Source organism: Homo sapiens, chromosome 19 (assembly GCF_000001405.40).
Source record: "Homo sapiens chromosome 19, GRCh38.p14 Primary Assembly".
NCBI classification, from domain to species: domain Eukaryota; kingdom Metazoa; phylum Chordata; class Mammalia; order Primates; family Hominidae; genus Homo; species Homo sapiens.
Window position 1 is genome coordinate 1,865,128 of NC_000019.10, and position 20,635 is coordinate 1,885,762.

At 59.4% G+C, this 20,635-nt stretch overlaps 2 protein-coding genes across 7 annotated transcripts in view, besides 12 other annotated features; both read right to left on the reverse strand.

The window, feature by feature from the left end:
- Positions 1-542: part of an enhancer, noted in NCBI's record as "H3K4me1 hESC enhancer chr19:1865114-1865668 (GRCh37/hg19 assembly coordinates)", that runs on past the window's edge. NCBI's record gives its function as "activates a minimal SCP1, AML or CMV promoter by ChIP-STARR-seq in naive H9 embryonic stem cells {active_cell/tissue: H9 hESC(naive)}" and the evidence as "EXISTENCE:reporter gene assay evidence [ECO:0000049][PMID:30033119]".
- The window catches only part of KLF16 (KLF transcription factor 16), a 24,138-nt gene extending 12,729 nt beyond the window's left edge, over positions 1-11,409 (reverse strand). The window contains exon 1 of the mRNA XM_047439498.1: positions 10,983-11,409. Coding sequence (XP_047295454.1) covers positions 10,983-11,409 — 427 coding nt within the window. The remainder of the gene's footprint in view (positions 1-10,982) is intronic.
- Positions 7,243-7,537: an enhancer, noted in NCBI's record as "tiled region #11648; K562 Activating DNase unmatched - State 1:Tss, and HepG2 Activating DNase matched - State 18:Pol2". NCBI's record gives its function as "activates a minimal TATA promoter and a strong SV40 promoter by Sharpr-MPRA in K562 cells, with weak activation in HepG2 cells {active_cell/tissue: HepG2 | K562}" and the evidence as "EXISTENCE:reporter gene assay evidence [ECO:0000049][PMID:27701403]".
- Positions 7,243-7,645: a biological region, named in NCBI's record as "KLF16-I enhancer".
- Positions 7,322-7,645: an enhancer, noted in NCBI's record as "KLF16-I DHS fragment used in reporter constructs". NCBI's record gives its function as "activates the minP minimal promoter by reporter assays in K562 erythroleukemia cells {active_cell/tissue: K562}" and the evidence as "EXISTENCE:reporter gene assay evidence [ECO:0000049][PMID:23985037]".
- Positions 8,415-9,130: an enhancer, noted in NCBI's record as "H3K4me1 hESC enhancer chr19:1873541-1874256 (GRCh37/hg19 assembly coordinates)". NCBI's record gives its function as "activates a minimal SCP1, AML or CMV promoter by ChIP-STARR-seq in naive H9 embryonic stem cells {active_cell/tissue: H9 hESC(naive)}" and the evidence as "EXISTENCE:reporter gene assay evidence [ECO:0000049][PMID:30033119]".
- Positions 10,319-11,019: an enhancer, noted in NCBI's record as "H3K27ac hESC enhancer chr19:1875445-1876145 (GRCh37/hg19 assembly coordinates)". NCBI's record gives its function as "activates a minimal SCP1, AML or CMV promoter by ChIP-STARR-seq in naive and primed H9 embryonic stem cells {active_cell/tissue: H9 hESC(naive and primed)}" and the evidence as "EXISTENCE:reporter gene assay evidence [ECO:0000049][PMID:30033119]".
- Positions 10,742-10,991: a silencer, noted in NCBI's record as "silent region_9752". NCBI's record gives its function as "represses an Ori minimal core promoter by ATAC-STARR-seq in GM12878 lymphoblastoid cells {active_cell/tissue: GM12878}" and the evidence as "EXISTENCE:reporter gene assay evidence [ECO:0000049][PMID:35858748]".
- Positions 11,020-11,719: an enhancer, noted in NCBI's record as "H3K27ac-H3K4me1 hESC enhancer chr19:1876146-1876845 (GRCh37/hg19 assembly coordinates)". NCBI's record gives its function as "activates a minimal SCP1, AML or CMV promoter by ChIP-STARR-seq in naive H9 embryonic stem cells {active_cell/tissue: H9 hESC(naive)}" and the evidence as "EXISTENCE:reporter gene assay evidence [ECO:0000049][PMID:30033119]".
- Positions 11,232-11,281: an enhancer, noted in NCBI's record as "active region_13631". NCBI's record gives its function as "activates an Ori minimal core promoter by ATAC-STARR-seq in GM12878 lymphoblastoid cells {active_cell/tissue: GM12878}" and the evidence as "EXISTENCE:reporter gene assay evidence [ECO:0000049][PMID:35858748]".
- Positions 11,372-11,513: a silencer, noted in NCBI's record as "fragment chr19:1876498-1876639 (GRCh37/hg19 assembly coordinates)". NCBI's record gives its function as "represses an EF-1alpha promoter that drives an FKBP-Casp9 reporter gene in an ReSE screen in HepG2 liver carcinoma cells {active_cell/tissue: HepG2}" and the evidence as "EXISTENCE:reporter gene assay evidence [ECO:0000049][PMID:32094911]".
- Positions 11,683-20,369, reverse strand: ABHD17A (abhydrolase domain containing 17A, depalmitoylase). 6 transcript variants are annotated; one of them, NM_031213.4, is made up of 6 exons: positions 20,225-20,369; positions 16,108-16,677; positions 15,769-15,921; positions 14,794-14,988; positions 12,381-12,560; positions 11,683-12,298 (listed from the first exon to the last, which is right to left on the reverse strand). In NM_031213.4, the coding sequence occupies exons 2-6, from the start codon at positions 16,437-16,439 to the stop codon at positions 12,073-12,075; spliced, it is 1,086 nt and encodes a 361-aa protein (NP_112490.3). In that variant the 5' UTR covers positions 16,440-16,677; positions 20,225-20,369; the 3' UTR covers positions 11,683-12,072. The 6 variants fall into 6 exon arrangements, with proteins under 6 accessions (NP_112490.3, NP_001123583.1, XP_011526640.1 ...); NM_001130111.2 differs by lacking the exon at positions 15,769-15,921; XM_011528338.3 differs by lacking the exon at positions 20,225-20,369 and having other exon boundaries at positions 16,108-17,439.
- Positions 11,720-12,420: an enhancer, noted in NCBI's record as "H3K27ac-H3K4me1 hESC enhancer chr19:1876846-1877546 (GRCh37/hg19 assembly coordinates)". NCBI's record gives its function as "activates a minimal SCP1, AML or CMV promoter by ChIP-STARR-seq in primed H9 embryonic stem cells {active_cell/tissue: H9 hESC(primed)}" and the evidence as "EXISTENCE:reporter gene assay evidence [ECO:0000049][PMID:30033119]".
- Positions 19,634-19,781: a silencer, noted in NCBI's record as "fragment chr19:1884760-1884907 (GRCh37/hg19 assembly coordinates)". NCBI's record gives its function as "represses an EF-1alpha promoter that drives an FKBP-Casp9 reporter gene in an ReSE screen in K562 erythroleukemia cells {active_cell/tissue: K562}" and the evidence as "EXISTENCE:reporter gene assay evidence [ECO:0000049][PMID:32094911]".
- Positions 20,370-20,635: the final 266 nt, after the last annotated feature.

A 20,635-nucleotide genomic window follows, 5' to 3' on the forward strand; every position in this document is an offset into this window, starting at 1 on the left:
CAGTAAGCCCACTCTACGTGGCTGGACAGAGCGGAGCCGAGAGAGAGGAGGTTCAGCGAAGTGTGGGAGGGTACAGGGTGCCCTGCACACACTTGCCCCTCTCCTAGGCCTGGGCTCCAGAGCCCTCTCTGCACCCCTACCATTCGGTGGGCGCTGGGGGTCGGCGTTCCTGCTCCTGCTGGGCCTCTGTTGTCTTTGAACTTCTAGGACGATGGGCCACTTGGGCAGGTCCCCCAGGTCCCCACCATCCCAGCAGCCCCCAGGGTCCTGGAACCCCGCATTGGCTTGTGGACAGGTGTGTCTTGAGGCCTCAGGGTCCACACCCAACCATGCGTCTTCCACTGATGTTTCCTGGGCTTAGAGCAGAACCAACCAGCCCTGCCCTCAAGGGGCTTACAGTTGTAACTGGGAGGCTAACGATGGGGGGCAGGGGTGAGCAGCCTCCAGGGGTGGGCCACATGGCCCCAGGCAGGACCTTCACTGTGAGACTCCATTGTCTGCCCACTCCAGCCATTATCAGGGTTTCAAGTGAGTGGCCTCATCTGCAGGTCATGCCAGCCACTCCACAGGCAGGAGACCCCAGGTGAGGGCACACAGCCCACACCCCACCCATGAGGCTTCTATTCACACCCCTAAGCCCCAGGAACACTCAGGCAACCCATGACCCCTGCGGTGAACACAGACAAACCTCCAGCAGCGCCCGGCACAGGGCTCTGTCCTCTCTTCCTTACTCTCTATGACCCTGTAAATTCTCCACCGGGTGCGGTGGCTCACGCCTGGAATGCCAGCACTTTGAGAGACCAGGGTAGGAGGATCACTTGAAGCTATCAGTTCAAGACCAGCCGGGGCAACGTAATGAAACCCCCAACTCTCCACATTAAAAAATGAGCTGCAGGCCGGGTGCAGTGGCTCACGCCTGTAATCCCAGCACTTTGGGAGGCCAAGGCTGGCAGATCACCTGAGGTCAGGAGTTCGAGACTAGCCTGGCCAATGTGGTGAAATCCCGTCTCTACTAAAAATACAAGAAAAAATTAGCCGGGCCAGGTGGTGGGCACCTGTAATCCCAGCTACTCAGAAGGCTGAGGCAGGAGAATCGCTTGAATCTGGGAGGTGGAGGTTGCAGTGAGTTGAGATCGAACATTGTACTTCAACCTGGGCGACAAGAGCAAAAACTCCATCTCAAAAAAAAAAATTAGCTGGAGGCCAGTCATGGTGGCTCACGCCTGTAATCCCAGCACTTTGGGAGGCCGAGGCAGGCGGATGACCTGAGGTCGAGAGTTCGAGACCAGCCTGACCAATATGAAGAAACCCCGTCTCTACTAAAAATACAAAAAAAATTAGCCGGGCCTGGTGGCGCATGCCTGTAATCCCAGCTACTCAGGAGGCTGGGGTAGGAGAATCGCTTGAACCCAGGAGGCGGAGGTTGCAGTGAGCCGAGATCGTGCCACTGCACTCCAGCCTGGGTGACAAGAGAGAAACTGTCTCAAAAAAAAAAAAAATTAGCGGGCGCAGTGGCCTCACACCTGTAGTCCCAGCTACTCAGGAGGCTAAGGTGGAAGGGTCGCTTGAGCCCAGGAGGTCAAGGCTGCAGTGAGCTGTGACTGCACCACTGCACTCCAGCCTGGGTGACAGAGTGGGACCCTGTCTCAAAAAAAAAAAAAAAAAAAGGAGTTGTCATTCCCATTCTACAGATGAAAAAATCAAGACTGGGAGAGGACCGAGAACAGCCGGCTCCTGCTCACAGCTAAGAGGCAGCAGACACTTTGGGGCATCCATAACTCAGCCCCTTCTTTCTTCAAACCTGTTCCTCACCTATAAATGGGGGCTCACCTCTACCCTTCCCTGACAGCGCCCAAGAGGATCAGGGGGACAGCTCCTCCCAGCCCCAAAGATGGACCTCCCAAGCCTGAGGGCTATGGAGCAAAGCTCAGCAGGGGACAGACAGCACCCAGGTGTTGCTGGGAGTGGGTCTCTAGCAGGGCAGGAAGAACACAACGGGACTCTCAGAGGGGCCACGGAGCCAGGAACTGGGGCCTTGCCTCATAGAGGGCAAAGAACACAGTCTCCCAGAGGACAGATGAGGGCAGAGGTCACATAACCGGGGGTGCACCCACAACATGGATACCCCAAGGTAGGTGAGGGCCAAAAACAAGGCTGCAGGGCCGGGTGCAGTGACTCACGCCTGTAACCCCAACACTTTAGGGGGCTGAGATGGGAGGACTGCTTGAGCCCAGGAGTTCAAGACCAGCCTGGGCAATATAGTGAGACCCCTGTCTGCATAAAAAACAAATTCAAAACTTACCCAGGCATGGTAGTGCACGCCTGTGGTCCCAGCTCTTCGGGAGGCCGAGGCGGGAGGATTGCTTGCGGCCCCGAGGTCAAGGCTGCAGAGAGCTGTGATACACCCCAGCCTGGGCAACAGAGCGAGATCCTGTCTCTAAAAATAGTGATAGATTGTCTGGGTGTGGTGGCTGATGCCTGTAATCTCAGCACTTTGGGAGGCCAAGGCAGATGTATCACCTGAGGTCAGGAGTTCAAGAACAGCCTGGTCGACATGATGAAACCCTGTCTCTACGAACAGTACAAAAATTAGCCAGGTGTGGTGGGGGGCCGCCTGTAATCCCAGCTACTCGGGAGGCTGAGGCAGGAGAATTGCTTGAACTGGAGAGGTGGAGGTTACAGTGAGCCAAGATTGTACTACTGCACTCCAGCCTGAGTGACAGTGAGACTCCCTCTCAAATAAATAAAAACAATAGTAAATAACAAAGATGCAGCAGAAGAGGGGGTAATATGTAAGGACGTGTGTGTGTGTGTGTGTGTGTGTGTGTGTGTGTGCGTGCGCGCATGCACTGGAACTGCCATATCTTCTTGATTTAAGACAGTCGGGTCTTTGCTTTGTGATAGTTTTAATAGTACTTTTCTGTAGTACTCAAACATTTTTTTTTACCATGTGTATTTACTACATGCCTCTGAATGTCAACAGGCATCTAAGCAATGCAATGATGGGCCATTTGTCCTTTCATTTTTAGGCTTTTCTGTATGAAAATTCATCTTCTAAATAAAACTCCCCCCACCCCCTGCCCAGTGTGGGCTGGACTGAGGGACTCGCTGCCGCAGAACAGGGCAGGGACAGGAGACGATGGCAATGGGCCCCGGGACATCCAGTGACCCCACCTGCACCAGGGGGCCGAGGTCAACATCAGGGGTGAAGTCGTCAGGGTCTCGGCGACCCCTGCTAGGATGTGAGGAGAAAGGGGCCTCCAGGAGGGTGTCCTGCCCCAAACCCTGTCACCTCAGTGTGACCTCAGGAAGACAGGCAAACCCAGATTAGGGCTTTTTTTTTTTTTTTTTTTTTTTTTTTTTTTTTTTTTGAGACAGAGTCTCACTGTTACCCAGGCTGGAGTGCAGTGACACGATCTCGGCTCACTGCAGCCTCTGCCTCCCAGGTTTCAGCGATTCTCCTGCCTCAGCCTCCTAGGTAGCTGGGATTACAGGTGCCCACCACCACACCGGGCTTTTTTTTTTTTTTTTTTGGAAATAGAGTTTCGCTCTTGTTGTCCAGGCTGCAGTGCAATGGCACAATCTCGGCTCATTGCAAACTCCCTCCTGGGTTCAAGCAATTCTCCAGCCTTGGCTTCCCGAGTAGCCGCGATTACAGGCATATACCACCATGCCCAGATAATTTTTGTACTTTTACTAGAAACAGGGTTTCATCATGTTGACCGGGCTGGTCTTGAACCCCTGACCTCAGGTGATCCACCCACCTCAGCCTCCCAAAGTGCTAGGATTATAGGCGTGAGCCACCGCACCCGGCCGATGAGGGGACGTTTTACAGAACACTTGAGCAGGCCTCCTCAAGACTGTCAAAGTCATTAAAGACAAGGAAAGCCTGAAGAACCAAGATAGACTTTTAAGAGACTCAAGAGACATAAGGATGAAATGCCATGTGGGACCCTGGATGGGGGCCGGGCCAGGAAAGGAAAAGACTTTGGGGGAAAACAGGAAGCTGGAACAGAGAGCCCGGGGTTTCACTGTCAGAGCTGTACCCATGTTAATCTCCTGGCTTTAGCCAGGCATGATGACTCACGCCCGTAATCCCAGCACTTCCAGAGGCCGAGACAGGTGGATCACTTCAGGTCAGAAGTTCGAAACCAGCCTGGCCAACATGGTGAAACCCCATCTCTACTAAAAACACAAAAAAAATTAGCCAGGTTTGGTGGTGGGCGCCTGTAATCCCAGCTACTCAGGAGGCTGAGGCAGGAAAATCACTTGATCCCAGGAGGCGGAGGTTGCAGTGAACCAAGATCACACCACTGCACTCCAGCCTGTGTGAAAGAGTGAAACTCCAGCTCAATAAAAAAAGAAAATGTTCTGGTTTTGACGGGGTGTTACCACAAGGGAAGCCAGTGAAGGGTTGATGGGATTCTCTGCACCACCCGTGCAGCTCTTCTGTAGACCTCAAACTATTCCAAAATAAAAAATGTTTTATTATTGTCTTTAAGATGAGATTTCACTGTTGCCCAGGCTGGAGTGCAGTGGAGCAATCATAGCTTACTGCAGCCTCTACCTCCTGGGCTCCAGTGATCCTCACACCTCAGCTTCCCAAGTAACTGGAACCACAGGTGCACACCGCCACGCCCGGCTAAATTTTTTAAATTTCATTTTCTAGAGATAGGGTCTTACTTTTGCTGTCCAGGCTGATCTCCAACTTCTGGGCTCAAACAATCCTCCTGCTTTGGCCTCCCAAAGTGCTAGGACTACAGGCGTGAGCCACCACACCCAACCCAAGATAAATACTTTTTCTTTTTTTTTTTTTTTTTTTTTGAGACGGAGTCTCCCTCTGTCGCCAGGCTGGAGTACAGTGGTGCAATCTCGGCTCACTGCAACCTCTGACTCTCTGGTTCAAGTGATTCTCCTGCCTCAGCCTCCTGAGTAGCTGGGATTACAGGCACGTGCCACCAAACCCGGCTAATTTTGTATTTTTAGTAGAGACGGGGTTTCTCCACATTGGCCAGGCTGGTCTCGAACTGCTGACCTCATGATCTGCCCGCCTCGGCCTCCCAAAGTGCTGGGATTACAGGCGTGAGCCACCACACCCGGCCAAAACTTACTTTTTAAACAAATATGAAAAGTGGATGTGGGGGTGACTGGACTGAATAATAATAATGACAATGGCAGCACGGCAGCAGCTCACATTTGCAGCACTGCTTGGAGTTGCTTTAAAGTCCACTCCTAGAAAGGCACCCAGGAAATACTCCTAAGGGCCAGGGATGGTGGCTCATGACTGTAATCCCAGCACTTTGGAAGGCCAAGGCGGGAGAATCGCTTAAGGCCAGGAGTTCGAGACCAGCCTGGGCAACAAAGCAAGACTGCATTTCTACACAAAATACAATTAGCCAAGTGTGGTGACGTGTGCCTGTCGTCCCAGGTAATTGGGAGGCTGAGGTGGAAAGATCACTCGAGCCTAGGACTGGGAGGTTGGGGCTGCAGGGAGCCATGATCACACCACTACACTCCAGCCCAGGTAACAGGGTGACAGTCTGACCCAAAAAAAAAGAAAGAAAAAAAGAAAGATTCCTGATTCCTGGCCTGGCGTGGTGGCTCACGCCTTTAATCCCAGCACTTTGGGAGGCAGAGGCGGGCAGGTCACCTGAGGTCAGGAGTTTCAGACCAGCTTGGCCAACATGGTGAAACCCCGTCTCTACTAAAAATACAAAAATTAACCAGGCGTGGTGGCACGCGCCCGTAATCCCAGCTACTCGGGAGGCTGAGGCAGGAGAATCACTTGAACCCAGGAGGTGGAGATTGCTGTAAGCCAAGATTGCGCCACTGCACTCCGGCCTGGGCCACAGAGTGAGACTCTGTCTCAAAAAAAAGAAAAAAGAAAGATCCGTAAGGAAAGAGTGCACAGGGTTGTGCACTGTACTGCTGGTAACAGAAAAAACAGGGAATGGACCCCAGTATCAGCGGCGGGGTCACAGAGACCCTGAGGCTGCTGGAGAATCAGGCAGAACCGTCAGTCCTGCTGCAGAGCCTCACAGATGGGGTGGCAAAAGCAAGCTTCACAGTAAAGCCTGTGCCCCAGACATGGCCTCAATTCTCCGTGTGTTGTCACCTGTACCCACAGGCTGTTTATTCACGGATGACCTTTGCCAACCTGTGGAAGCCACCTCCGGACAGGCCTGCAGGGACCCAGGGCCGTAGCAGGAGGGACTGGACGGGCTGCGGAGGTGGCCATGAGGCCTGCAGAGGACGCACTCAGCGGTCTGTGCCACCCATTTGAGTATCTGACGGTGTGACCCTGACCTCTCCCGGTGATCCTGATTGTCAACAAAACCCTAAAGTCCCCACCCCCCCGGGGCTGGCGCTCCTGCAGGACACTGTGGTCTGGTGATAGCCTTTATTTACATTACTGCAGGTGTTGCATTATGTGACCAAAACGCCGACCCCCAAAGCCACTCAGGGTATATTTCTGTGTTAAGGCGTTAAATCACTTACCATGGTCCAGTCCAGGGGGGCCACCACGCACGGTGGGGGGCGGGGGGGCAGCTGCAAGCTCCTGGGGGACAGAGGACAAGGTTCCACCAGCCAGGTGGGAAGGTGGGGCAGCAGCTGCCACCCTCCAACCGGAGGACACAGCGAGGTCACCCTGCTGGCCGACTGCAAGGAAGCCCCTGCGTGGGGTCCTGCAGGGAGCATCTCTGGGGTCCACGGCATCCATGCTAGGAGCTGCTTCAGGGACACCAAGGCCTCCTCCATCCTGCACAGGGTGGGCAGCAGGGGCAGGATCCGGCTGGCATTTCCTTTCCCGTGCGAATCCCCCAACCCCTGCACCCCCAGCCCCTCCTCAGCAGGACTGCAGGGCCAGGGCCGGGGATTTTATCTGCACAGAGTCGGGAGGGGACCAGGACCCCCAGGCACCCCGCTTCCTTGGCCTCCCAAAGATGATGAAAAGCTTCCATAAGAGCTTTCCCCCTTGAACAGGGTCAGACAGGTGGCGGTGGTTTTTCGTTGTTTTTTTAAGATGGAGTCTTGCTGTGTTGCCCAGGCTGGAGTGCAGTGGTGCAATCTTGGCTCACTGCAACCTCCGCCCCCTGGGTTCAAGCGATTCTCCTGCCTCAGCCTCCCGAGTAGCTGGGACTACAGGCGCCCGCCACCATGCCAGCTAATTTTTGTACTTTTTTAGTAGAGACAGGGTTTCACCATGTTGGTCAGGCTGGTCTCGACCTCCTGACCTCAGGTCATCCACCGCCTCGGCCTCCCAGAGTGCTGGCATTACAGGCGTGAGCCACCGCGCCCAGCCTAGTGGTGGGGTTTCAGGGCACTCTGCTAACAGCCACAGGCTTCATTCACATAAAGCACCCCGCCTGGGCCTGTTCCCTCCGTGAGGCTATTGGGGAGGGCGGGTCCCAGAGTCGCGCTCTTATCCTCCACGGACACACACACTGCCTGTTCTGAGCTCCACTTCCGGCTGGGTGCTGGGGAGAGAATAGGCTCTGGTCTGGCGGGAGGTGCTCGCTGTCTGGCCGGGCAGATGTGTGTCCCGGGACCTTATTTCTGAGCCACCTGTGCTGTCGTGGCTGGGAGACGCCGAGTGCCGAGGGAGCGCGGGCCTGGCCGGGGTCTCGGCTACTTCTCTCGGTGGGGAAGCAGGGACAGTCACCCCAGCAGCCCAGAATCGTTGTGAAGATCGACGTGGCCCGTGGCCGGAGCCCGGAACCGGGAGGGAAGTGGGACCAGGGGCTTGTGCTGGCCCCTGGGCCGCTCTGATACCAGTTGGGCGCCCACTGGATGGACTCCCAGTTAACAAGGCGGCCCTGCACTCCCACCTTGATCCTGACACCCGGACTCAGAGGTGGACAGGCAGGTGCCTGCCATAGGGGAGGAAAGAGGAGGCGCCTGCTCCCAGAGGCCCCACCTCAGGTCACGGCCACCACAGGCCAAGAGGACAGAATCACAGCCAAGCAGGGATGGTCTCCATCCTCTTCCAGAACCCCAGAGGGCCCTCAGGTCATGCAGAACAGAGCCAGCCGGGTGGGTCCCACCAGCTTGGCATTAATGGGACGACGGATGAATGCAGCCACAGCGTCATAAGAGCTTGGTCAGCCGCCCACACACACATGCTGGGACCCCACGAATGCCAGTCGGGGCTGACAGGCCACTGGTCCCCTGGGGAGCAGCTGGAGGGTGCACAGCCCTGGGCACCGCCCCAGACCTGACCCACTGGAAGGGCCTAGCCCACATCTCAGGCAAGCCTCTGCCACACCCACAGCCATGCTCCAGCCACTGGCCCTGGGGAGGGTCTGCCCTCCCCCCGGGCTCCGGGTACCAGAGTGGGCCTAGGCCATAGGGTCACCTGGCTGGTGTCTGTCCCGTCACCCAGGGCCCCGTGCTGGGGTGTACCAGGAGCAGGTGACACAGGGTGGACCAGAGACTCAGCCCCCAGGCGCCCTACCCGGGAGAACGCTGTTGCAGGGCTTGAACAAGTGTGTCCTGGAAAATCCACAAAATGGAGAACGGGAAGTTGGCCCTACTCCCAGGTGGCCTGGCCCCGGGCCATACCAAGTGGGAGGTGGGGAGAGCGCGCGTCCTGGAATAGAGTGCTGGCCTCCCCTGTCGCCACCCCTGCGGGGTCCTCCCGGGTCCCAAGAGCAGGGGGTGGTGGGGAGAGGCCGAGGGTGGAAGTTGGCCTGACAGCCTGGAGCCTGAAGGCCCGGACTCGGTTTACCCCATGTGAGAGGGACAGGCAGAGGGAACACAGTGTACGCTGAAGGCGTCTGGGAGCCCTGCCGAAGCCTCGGTGCTGAGTTCGCAGCAGCTTGAGAATGGGGCTGCCTGAAACCAAGGCCAGCATCGCGCACCGTGAATATCCACAGCCCGCAGGGAGGGAGGGGCGGCCCCAAATACTTCGATTTCCAAAATCCTCTTCATCACAGTGTCTTGTGGAACTAGTACCACATGGATCAGATGAAGTCGTCAACTATTTTAAGATGAGAATTTTATCTCAGTTTGATCTGTAAATCTAAGAATCTAAGCAATCTCAATGTTTTCAAAGAAGATCACGGTGGGAGAACCAGATAAACTTGCCTGCTGTTCAGGAGAAAAAAGAAACGTGCAAAATAATGCAAGGAGGAGGGGCCTCCGGACATGAGGTCAGGAAGACAATGGGGTTCTGGAAAACTGGGATAAGAGTCTAGGGACAGACCCAAATCTACTTGCCATAAAGACAGCACTTCAGTGGGGAAAAGAATGCTTTTTTGGGAAATAAAGTTGGGACAATTTGTGGAAAAAAAGTTTTGCTTCCTACCTTACTCCTTACCAGGAATACTTTCTAAAATTAGACATAAGCATTTAAATATATGGGGAAAAAAAAACCCCACTACATTTCTAGAAGAAAATCTCAAATGTTTTATGATCTTACAGCGGAGAAGATATTCCTGAGATGACACAAAAATGCAGGAGCCGTAAAGAGAAAAAAACTAATGACCAGTAACAATTTTAGATGCTTAGCTTAAAGAAAAAAATACAAACAAAGTCAAAGACTAATGACAGATAGAAAAAAGAAACACTTCCGGGTCAGCCGAGAAATGGTATTCAGCAATAAATGTGTCAGAGTCCCAAAAAAAAAAAAAAAAAAAAAAAAAAAAAAACACTTCTACTAGACAGAAAGCGAATTTTCTTAATCTGTAAAGTGCACCTAGAAACCACCACCATCCACCCAACAGAAAAATGAGCCAAGAAGATAAAATACAAATGGCTTTTAAATAGTCAAACGTTTATAATAAACATATTTTCCAATCTCGAAACGACTGTCAGTGGTAACAATGATCAACGTAACATAGATGTAACAGGAACATCACGACGTTCGACTATACTTACAGGAAACACAAGCTACAGTGAAATACTATCTCACGCCTACCAGGTCTGCAAAATCCAGCTTGGGCAAGGGTGTCGCCGGCCCCCTCTTATGCTGGTGGGGGAGGGCGATTTGGTACCACCCCTTTAGGGGCCTAAATACAGCCCTCGCACTTCTGCACCAAGGAATTTAACCTAAGAAAATAGTCCGACTTGGGCAAAAAACGGTTTGTACAAGCAATAGTCAAGCTAGCATTGTTCGTTATAAAAGACAGCAAAAACCCTAAATTTCTACAGGAAAGGGGATAAAGTCTGGTGCTATAAAACTCCGTTTCCGGAGGAATCCCACCTGTATCTGAATGCATGGGGCGCTCTCCGAGCTACGTTAAGTATAAGAGCCCCAAGTAAAGTAACTGACCTTTTGCAGAAACGCACGTAGATGTTCCTGCATAGACTTTCTTTGCAGACCCGTAAGAAACGGGTTTCCCTCTGCCCCAGGGGAGAACTGGGCCTTGGAGGTTAGGACTGGGAAAAACACATCAAGTCTTCACCAAATACCCTTTCAGGCTCCTTGAATTTTCTACTCTGTGCACCTGAACACACTTTTGTTCTCTTGCAAGCAGTTGCTTTGCACTGGAGGCAATGAAGACACGGCGGAGTCCCAGCTCGCAGGGAGCTCAGGTTCTGACGGCGTCAGAGGACAACACGCTCTGGACCAGCGCAGCGCCCAAGGGTCAGCGGCAGCAGCGAGCAGGGGGCACGGGATGCGGGGAGGCTCTTCGGGAGGCATGAAAGGCAGACGTGTTCCGAAACGTGAGCCGCGCTGAGGGGCACGGCGCACGACCGGGGACAGAAGGAAGACACTGCGGTCGCAAAGCCCTGGCCGTGCAAAGGCCCCGTGGTCAGCCAGGAGCCCAGGCGTCCCCTGCTCTAGCGAGGTTTCCTTCCGAACGTCCCGTAGCACCGCTTACCATGGAACGGCGGGCGCTGCCTCGCAGCCCCGACCCCGCGGCGGCCCCCACGGGCCTACGAGGAACTCGAGGCCGAGGGAAGGAGTGAGAGCGGCCGGAAAGGGGCAGGGCCGAGCCGGACCGGTACCTGGCTGGGTCCCAGCGGCCGCCACTTACCACCGAGGCCGCCTCTTCGTCCACAGCCTGACGCCAGCCACCGCCGCCGCCGTCTCCACTGCCGCACGCACGCCGCCACTTCCGCTTCCGTCCGTGCTGCGGCCCCGCACGTGACGCAGCGCCTTCTCGCGCCCAGACTGAAGCACCGCCCCCCCTTAAAGGGGCCGCGGACTAGAGCTAGCTGGATGCAGCTTGGGATCCCGGCCTCGCCACCGCCTGGTCGCGCGACACAGGCTGAACCCTGCCCAACCCTAAGGTGGACAACAGGCCACCGGTTCCCGAGTCCTCCCGGTCCTAAGCCTTCTGCCCTAGAGATCGTAGGAACTCTTCTCGTGATCCCAGCTCCAGTGTCGGCTCCCTCTTCCAGGGGAGACCCTCGGGGCCCAAGCACCTGCCACCGCCCTCTGCTGGACCCCAGCTTCGCCATCTACGAAGGAAGCGGCCTGTCCGAGCTCTGAGGTCCGTCAAGCGCGGCACCTCAGGACCCAGAGTGCGCTGTCCTGGCCCCTCTGCAGTAGGACTGACGGGAAGCTGTCGAGGGGGCAGTCCCGCGATGGCAGCAGGGCCCCCACGCCTGGCGTCCTCATCGCGCCCACCCAGCAGGGCTCACCAGCCTCCCTAGGAAGCAGGCAGGGGTCCTGGGCTCAAACGCTGCCCCACCCATCATCGCCCAGGCAACCAGCTCCCTAAGGGCTCCCCGGACTAGACAGAGACCCACCCCACTTCCGCAGAGTAAAACCTATAAGGGGGTCCGTGCCGATCTCTCCTAGGGACTCAGGGACGAAACCTGGGAACCCCGGCCCCCTTTCGAGCTCGCTGAGCGCTCGAGAGAGTGAGCAGAGCCATGAAAGGAAGGAGAGCAGCCCTAAAATTTTAAATCTTTAATTTCCGTTTTCACGTATTTTCTTCTTGCTTCCAAAAGGAAAGGAGTGCGTAGCTCTGTTGCCTGTACATCGTCCACAGCCCCTGGGTCGGGGCGGGGTCCCCTGGGCCGCCCGGGGGGTCCACATGCAGCCCCTGGGTGGGGGCCGGCGCGGGGTGAGGTCCGGGGGCCGCCTTATTGCTGAGGTCCGGCCGGTTGGGGCCGCCGCTAGGCGCGCTGGCTGGGCAGCTCCTGGGAGATGAAGCGACGCAGGCGCTCCAGGTACTGGCTGTAGAGCTCGATGTCGTTGTGCCCGGCGCCCTCCACCCACAGCGGCTCCACCGCCTTGGGGCAGCGCTCGTAGAGCGCCAGCCCGTGCGAGAAGTCGATCACCTCGTCCTCCGTGCCGTGGATGATGAGCACGGGAGACGTGATCTTGGACACCTTCTCGATGCTGCGGGAGGGTCGTGGAGCCGGTGAGACTTCGCGCCCGGCCCGGGCCCCGCCCCGCCCCCGTCCCCGCCCGGGCCGCTCACTTAGGGAAGGCGTCGAAGCAGTAGGTCTTCTTGGTGTCGGGGAAGGCGACGCGCATGCCCGAGGTGAGCGGCGAGTGCAGCACCACCGCGGCACACTCGTAGCGCGAGGCCAGGTCCACGGTGGGCACCGTGCCGATGCTCTGCCCGTACAGGATGATGCTGTCCGGGCTGATGCCGTACCTGGCGGCGCCGGAGCAGGGTCAGCCGCGGCCTCCGACGCGCGCGCACCCTTCCCACCAGCGGGCGTCCCCGGGCCCAGCTCCGGATGCGACCCTCCAGTCTCCCCACTCAGCCAAGTCAGTGGGTCAGGCTCAGGCTCCACACCAGTCCCGAGGGCCACCCCCAGCCCCCAACACCGTGGCGGTGGGCGAAGCCAGCGGCCCCGCCCCGTTCCCTGCGCTGCCGTTCACTGGCGTTTCCTAGCTAGGATCTGCAGGGATCCTGCCTACGGAGTGCCCCTGGGGCGGGGGTAAGGGAGGCCCTGGCGCCTCTCCTCCTCCTGGTCACCCCTAGGTGCACACTGGGAACTGTGTGGCCCCCACATCCTGAATGCTTCACACCTTCCTGCCAGGGTTAGAAAACCGTTCCTGGTGCACTGGCCAGGACAGCGGACACTATTCCTCCCTGCAGCCCTTGCCCACCCCCTTGGCCATGAGGAATTCAGGCAGCTGTGTCCCCAAATGTCTCCACCCAATTTTGGACTCTCGGAGTCCCCACGCCCAATGAGATGCCAGTGCAACCCAGGTCAGCATCGAGGGTGGTGGCTGCGGAGGTGGCACCCCCTCCCACCAGCACCTTCCCTTGGGAGTGGACAAGTCCTCGGCCACCTCAGCACCACCAGCTCCCACCCAGGGGCACCCTCACCCCCAGGTCATTGGTGTGCGGCCCCTGACCCAGCTGATCCAGCACCAGTTACAAGGCCTCCTCGTGCCCAGTCCCAAGCACACGGGACCCACCTGCCACCCTGCCCATGCCGGGACCCCACAACTCTCCTCCCACACGCTCTAGGCTCTGATCCCAGGCAGACGCCCTCTTGCAAGGCAGGAGCATGGGCAGGTGTGCGTCCCCTCTGCCTGGCATCTCCACCAGCAGGGCTGTCCCCGTCCCTGGCCTGGAATCCCAGCCTCCTGGCAGCACTCCACAGCTCGCCACTCACCCATGCCCCAAAGGATGCTGCCTGGCTGGTGCCTGTGGCTCCAGCTCTGCCTCGGCCTCCCTGGCCTGCTCCCTGGCAGCCATGGTCAGTAGTGTGCTGAGCCAGCCCAGCCCTGCCACCTGCTACAGGCAGGAGCCCCGAGCTGCCACCTGGATGTCACCACTCAAACGAACAGGACACATCCCCGGTGGAGGCCCTGGGCACGCTCTGGCCTCCCCCTCACAGCTCTGGGCCTAGGTTCCTGCAGGACAAAGTGGCAGCAGGACAGATGGCCGAGCAGACAGAGCTCAGAGCTGGCCATGGCAGGTGTGACTCTGCCAGTGGCCCAGGCAGTAGAGACAGGAGGGGCCGAGGAAGTCGCATGAAGTGGTGATTGGTGTCAGCGTCCCACACTGCTGGGAGGCCCCCAGAGCCAGGGTGGTGCCAGGGGACCAGCTCCCAGGCCCACTGCAGGGACTGCCTGCATATCACCAAGGCAACGACGACCCCACCTCCCTAGGGCCTCTGACTTCTCAGAGCTGTGCCTGGTCCCTGTGGGAGCAGGTCAGACCAGTGGGCTGGGCAGGGCCAGGACGAGACAGGCCCAGTGGATGGTGAGCAGGAAAAGCCACCAGAGGCCCACCCGGGTCTCCTCGTCCAAAGCAGCACTGGCCCGGGCGGTGCTCAAACACCGGTGAAGGGCCCAGGCAAGCGCAGGGCTGGGGACGTGGATGACTAGGAGGGCTGGATCTGGAATCGAGGCTGGCCCAGACCTCGGATGTGTGCTGCGGGTCTGCACCTTACCCTGTAGGCCCTGCCCCAGGATGGCCAAGCTCCGCAGCCACAGGGCCTCATGGGCCAGTCCTCCGGACCTGGATGCAGCAGCCTCGCCTCACTTGGCCCCAAGTGCTGCCTCGGCCGATGGGCTCCCAGCCACACGTGCACAGACCCCCAGACCACCACCCACTCCCTCCCGCCGGGTGGCATCCACACCCCTGTGACAAGCTCAGCCCCTTCCCATCCTCAGGCCAGGGGTTCCCAGGGAACCTGGCTCCACAGGCCAGGGTGTGGGAGGACCGCCTGGCCACACCTCAGCCATGTGGAGGCGGCACCTGCACACCCAAGCTCGCCTGTCCGGCTCTCTGGCCCTGTGCATCCACTGTGGCTCCCCTCCTGCAGGGCCGCCCACCTTCCTCCCAGGGAAGCCCGCCCCCCGGCCCCCCGCCTGGTCCCCTCTTGGGTGTGCCCAGGCTGAGCTGCCCCCAGGGTCGCCCTCACCTGGTGCGCAGGGCCTGCCAGGCGGCGTCGATGTCGGCATAGAGGTTCCTCTCGGAAGGCCTGCCCGAGCTGGCACCGTAGCCGGAGTAGTCGTAGGAGAAGATGTTGCAGTGGAGGCGGGAGCCCAGGCCAATGTAGAAGCTGCTCATCTGGCCCAGGTCCACGGCATTGCCGTGCGAGAAGAGGACCGTGTACCTGGGACAGGCCGAGAAGGGCCGTTCACATCCTCGCTCCCAGCGCCCAGCTGCAGGGCAGGAGGATGCGTAGTGACAGCCCACCCCGGTGGCCAGCCATGCCCAGTGCCTCATTTACTCCCCTCCCAAGGGGGCCAGAAGCCAGTGAATGGAGAGGGGAGGCTACGACAGCACAGCTCCATCTCCGAGGGTTCCCCATGGGGAGAGGACAGGACAGCTGGCAGGGGGACAGGCAGCCTGGGCTGCAGAGGCCAGCCAGGGAGCCTCAGGATTCCCATCTGTGAAGCGGGACACTGGGACCATCGGTCGCATCCTCTCTCAGGGCAGACTCGCAGTGTGTGCTCAGATACTGCAGGCTTCACTGCCCTTCCTCCTGGAAGAACCTGGACCCCCGGGGATGGAGCGCACAGGCCCACCTTTCAGGACCTTCCCAGGGGAGCCCATGCTGCTGCTGGCAGGGCTATCTCCCCTCACCTCACAGAATGGTGCCCTCACTGTTGGGGCACAACTGGACCCCACCCCTGCCCCCAACAAGCAAATGCGGCCAATCTCTGCTCACACTCATGCAGCCCCTCCTGGCCCACCACCCTGCCCAAGCCCCAAGGCTGTGCTGCAAGGCCTGTCTGCTTCCCAGCACGGGAGCTGCCCCAGGTGGTGCCAGGAGCAGGTGGCCAGGCTGGCCCTGCCATGGACTGCTTCCTCCAGTTCCCCCAGGCCCCCACCTAGCCCAGCCAGAAGGTAAAGGCTCGCCCTCTGGACTCAGATCTGGTCAGAACCCCACCTGGCGAGAAGGTGGATGTACCCGCAGGCCAGGGCAGCCCCTGTGCCCCAGCTCTTGCCCAGCAGGCAACCACCAGGCGCTGGGTTGTTGGAGTCGCCCAGCCTGCCCACCCATGCCAGCTGGGGATGGCCTCCCTGAGCCTGGTGTCCTTGTCTGCGAGAGAAAATTGCCAGAGGGACGAGGCCGGCCTGACGGGGGATACCACCCTTGCTGGCTGGATGGCCCTTCACGGCAGGCTCGGGCCCTCGGGGGCACCACCAACCACACCAAGCACCGCAGGCAGAAACGGGAGCCCCAAGAACAGGGTGACCCAGCCCAGGCGCGGCCACAGCTGCTCACCTGGCACCAGGCACGCAGCGAACATACATGCAGGAGACGCGGTTGCCGCGGGCGCTCTTGGTGGGGAAGACCTCGATGGTGTCCAGCTCGCGCTGGCTGTACTGGAAGTCGGCACGCTCCGTCAGGTGCAGCTTCCAGCGCCCGGGTGCGCCCGAGGAGGCTCTCAGGGTCCCCAAGGGGGCGGCCCCGGCCCCACCAGGCCCCGGCTCGGGCTCAGGCACCAGGGAGTAGGTGGCCTCCGGCGGCAGGAAGGCGAGCTTGGCAGCGATGCGGCCGGGGCAGGGCGGGCAGCAGAAGAGGCAGCAGAGCTCACTCAGCGACAGCCCATTCATGGCGGGCGCCGCCCAGGCCGGGCCTCCACCGGGGCCCCCGCCAACAACGCCGCCCGGCCTGGCCCGGCAGGGGAGGGGTGGGGGTGCTCCGAGTCGCGGGCAGGGGGGAGAGCGCCCCCCCAGCTACCGCCCCAGACAGCAGCCCCGTTAGGAGGCCAGGGCCCAGCCCCATCGCGGTCCAAGCCGAGCCCCAGGGAGCCTCGCAACCACAGGTCTCCATGTCGTGCCGTGGGAAGCCCTGCGGGGGAACAGTGACATGTGGGGTCCTTTGGGGGTGCCACAGTCCAGCTGGGCACCCCCGGGAGGCGGGGCATCCACCCGTGCCAGGGGGCGGCATGGGCCCGGGGCCTGTCAGTCCCCATCCCCTCGGCCCTCCCCACGGCCTGTCAGGCACTGCACCCTACAGCTCAGGGGACCCCAATTCAGCCCCCTCTCCACAGGATGAAGGAACCCCCACCTTCCCTGAGCTGGCGATCACCACCTCTTGCCATGTGAGTACAGCCATGGCATGCGGGGCATGCAGGGGATATGACCCCAGCCCCGCCCACACCCCCGAAACGCCCGGCTCCAGCACCAGGGAAACCCCATGCGCCAGGACTCGGTCCGCACTGCTGCCCACTCCCTCCCCCGGCCCATCTCTGCCACCCTATGGGTGACGGGCCGCTGAGGCAAGGACAGAGCTCGAACTGAAGGGACCCACGAGGGACCCGAACAGGCCCCGCTACGTGAGCGTGCACAGGCGCCGGGTCCCACCGGCCTGCGATGTCTGGAGACAGAGGAAATACAACAAACAAAGGCTCTAGAAACAAAGGCAGGATACATCCCAGGCTCCTAGGGCCCCCAGAGCAGCAACAATGGCTCTTCTCTGTGCTGGAGCCAGGCCTGCTGAGGGGCAGGGGAGGTGGGCTGGCGTCAGGGGGTCCTTCTCCACCCCTGACTTAGGGTTCCGTGACCGTGGGCGAGTCCCTTGCCCTCCTGAGGCCTCAGCATTCTCATCTATAAGTGCAGACACCACACACCCCACAGGAAGTCAAGTGAGGGGGGAGGGGAACGAAGGTGCCTGATTGAGAGTGGAAACTCGGACCTTCTTCCTTGCTGCAGAACGTCATGAAACACATTAAGTCGACAACAGCTAAGTTGCTAAAGCAACCACAATAGTGTAAGGACCTGCCAACAGACAGACGTGAAGAAAACACGAAGGTCTGAGACGTCTATCTACCGACCACGCTTCTCCTTCAGACTGGAGCGAGGAGAGAGACACGCTCACAACTCAATTTCAGCAGAACACCCTGGAATGCTTGGCTTTTGGGTCACAGCATGAGAAAACCGTGGGGCCAGGAAGATGAGGCTCAAAGGCAGATGTGGACACAGATGGACATGCAGGCAGCTGCAGGCGCCACAGACACGGCTCGTGGGGACACCCTCACTACCAAGGAGCAGCCTCAGGCCCAGAAACACACCTGCTCCCTCAGGACCTGATGTGAGACCCACGTTCCTGTGAGCCGGACTCATGGGCACACGAGGAGGAGAGGAGAGAGCTCTGAAAGCCAGGGTGGGGCAAGGATGGCATCCCAGTGCCCCCAGACTCCCAGGCGGAAGGCAAATCGCACATGCAAGCACTTTTCAGCCGGGAGGTGGACTGTCAGGCTGGTTCTGCTTCTCAGATGGAGGCGAGTCTCCCTCCTGGAGACACCTGTCAATGTCTGGACACAGTTTTGGGTGTCACCACTGGGGACTGGGTGGAGGCTGCTTAGCACCCTGCAGTGCCCAGGACAGACCCACCCCAAAGAATGATCAGGCCCAACATCCACAGCGTCGAGGTTGATGTCAGCTTTTCAACATATTCTCAAAGAGGTCCAGGCCCTACCGGTGCTGCCCCGCTGGTGCTGGGGACTTGGAGGGCCCTGCAGTTTAGGTGGCATCATGCAGCTGGGTCCTGAGAGCCCAGTGGACAGCAGCAGGCCCCTGGAGACCCCGGAGACGAAGGGGCACACCGAGGTGGCCAGGGCCCCACTATCCAGGCCAGAAACAAAGATGTTATCCTTGACACCTCCTTCCACCCACTGGATCTGAGCCGGTCCATCACCAGCCCGGTGGCTCTGCCTGTCTCCCATCAGCCACCGCCCGGTCCCTGCCTCCATCACCTTTCACCAGAGCCACAGCAACAGCCTCCCTCCTTGCTGATCACCTGCTCCAGGACATTCTCCCCCAGCAGCCAAACAATCTTTCACGACACAAATGCAATGGAGCCGCTTCCCTCTTGGGGTGTCCTGGGGGCCTCCCATTATTCCCTGGATAGAGATCAAAGCCCTCCCCACAGCCTGCCAGGTCCGCATTCCGGCTCAGGCCGACCTCTCCAGACTCACTCATCTCACACCCTGCCACTCCTGGCTCCCTCAAGACAAGCCAAATTGCCCCTTCCTGCCTCTGCTCCTCTGCCAGGAACTCCCTTCCCCAACCTCACTAGACAGCCTTGCCCAACCCAACCACCCTTTGCACCTCACTGCCAACGCTCTCAGAGTCCTCAAAGCTGGGACAGGACCCCTTACACGCTCTTTCCACAGCTTGTATTTTTCACACGTTTGGCCAGATCTCCCCCCACCTCCAAACCAGAAACTCTATGAGAGCAGGACCATGACCTGCCACTCACTAAAGGAATGGGCAGGTGGTAGGCAGCACAGAATTAAGGAGGAAGCACAGGAGGAAAAGAATCCCCAAGGTCCGCCAGCTTTGACAGGGAAGGGAAAGTCTAGTCTCCTCTCCTCTCCAGCCACAGGTACCTGGAACCTCCCTAGTGTCACTAATGGGCGTGGACTGGGGAGTGCAAACCCAGACGCCTCACTCACTGGGCACACACCCTTGACACCCTGAATCCCACCAATTCCGTTCCCACGCACTTAACTGGGCAACCCTCTGCAAGCTAGAGGTGTTCTGAGGACCAGCAAGCAACCGAGCAGCCAAAATACTGGAAGATGACCTACATATGGGAGACGGTGACTGCACCTCACTCAACCAGTCAGGGTGGGAAACCCGCCTGGGGGGAGGCGCGGCCATATCAGAGGGCAGACAAACGGGCCAGGTGACAGGGGGATGGGACAGAGGGACAAGCAGGAGCAAAATCCGAGGTGACAGAGCAGGCTCCTGGCTAGAGCAGACCCTGGGAGGAAGAAGTGAGCAGAAGGGTCCTAAGAGAGAGCCTGGGACGGGTGAGGTCGCGCCCCCGAGAGTTTGCACTTCATCCTGGGAGAAATGGCGGGGCCGCGAAGAAGTCCCGAGCAAGCGATGGACAACATAGGAGAAGGGCTGCATCCCGGAGAACGGACGCGAGCGGAGGCCGGGAAGCCCGCCCAGGAGTCAGGGTGGCAGGAAGAAGCCTGACAAGGGAAACAGCGACTGGGAGCTGGTTGGGAAGCAGGGCTCGGGAGGGCCCCTGGGAGCTGCCTTGGGGGGCGAGAGGCCGAAGCGTTTGTCGGACTGGGGGCAGTTTCGGGGCAAAAGAGCGGAATCCGCGGCTCGGACGGGTGCTCCCCGAAGGCAAGGGCCGCGTCCGCAGGAGGGTGGGAGCGCAACCCACGCCGGAGGGCTGAATGGATGGGGACAGGGCTTTCCCAATCACAGACGCTCATCCGCGGTCCGCGCCCCTGCTCTGGGCTCCTCGGGCAGGACCCGCGGAAGCCCTGGGACTGCAGGGGTCTCGGGGACGTCCAACCGGGCTGTCAGGCCCTCGAGGCCCGGCCCGGGACCCCGCGCGGCCGCGCCCGCCCCCGCCCCTGCCCGGCACTCACCACCCCGGCCCGCGCCCCCGGGCCCCAGGGCCGCGCTCCATGGCTCCCGGCCGCCCGCCCGTGCGTCCGTCGGTCCCTCCGCACCCCTGCCCGGCCTCCTGCACCGCCACCGCCGCAGCTCCCCCCACGGACGGAAGTGAGCCTCGTTCTCACCACCGCCCCGGAAGTGACGCGAGGAGCGCGCGGGGCGGGGGTCTGCAGGCACAGAGCGACCGCGCGACTAGCGTCCTGGGGGCGGGGCTGATATGTCGAGGGGCGTGGCCTGCTGCTCTGTGGGCGGGGCCAAACTTAGGTTTCATTCACTTGGGGACCCGGAATAGGTTGAGGCCAGTAAAGTTCTCGCCTGGAAAACAAAATTTACAGGGACGCCAAAAAAAACTCAGACATCAACATTTAGAAATGTTTTAAAAT

Bases quoted from the DNA above. Each gene is read 5' to 3' on its own strand.
- ABHD17A (NM_031213.4), bottom strand. From the start codon at position 16,439: ATGAATGGGCTGTCGCTGAGTGAGCTCTGCTGCCTCTTCTGCTGCCCG. The intron at 15,922-16,107 runs GTGAGCAGCTGT...TTTCTCTCGCAG, and splicing joins CGCTGCGTGCCTGGTGCCAG to ACAAGGACACCAGGCTCAGG. The intron at 12,299-12,380 runs GTGAGCGGCCCG...ACCCTCCCGCAG, and splicing joins TGCTTCGACGCCTTCCCTAA to CATCGAGAAGGTGTCCAAGA.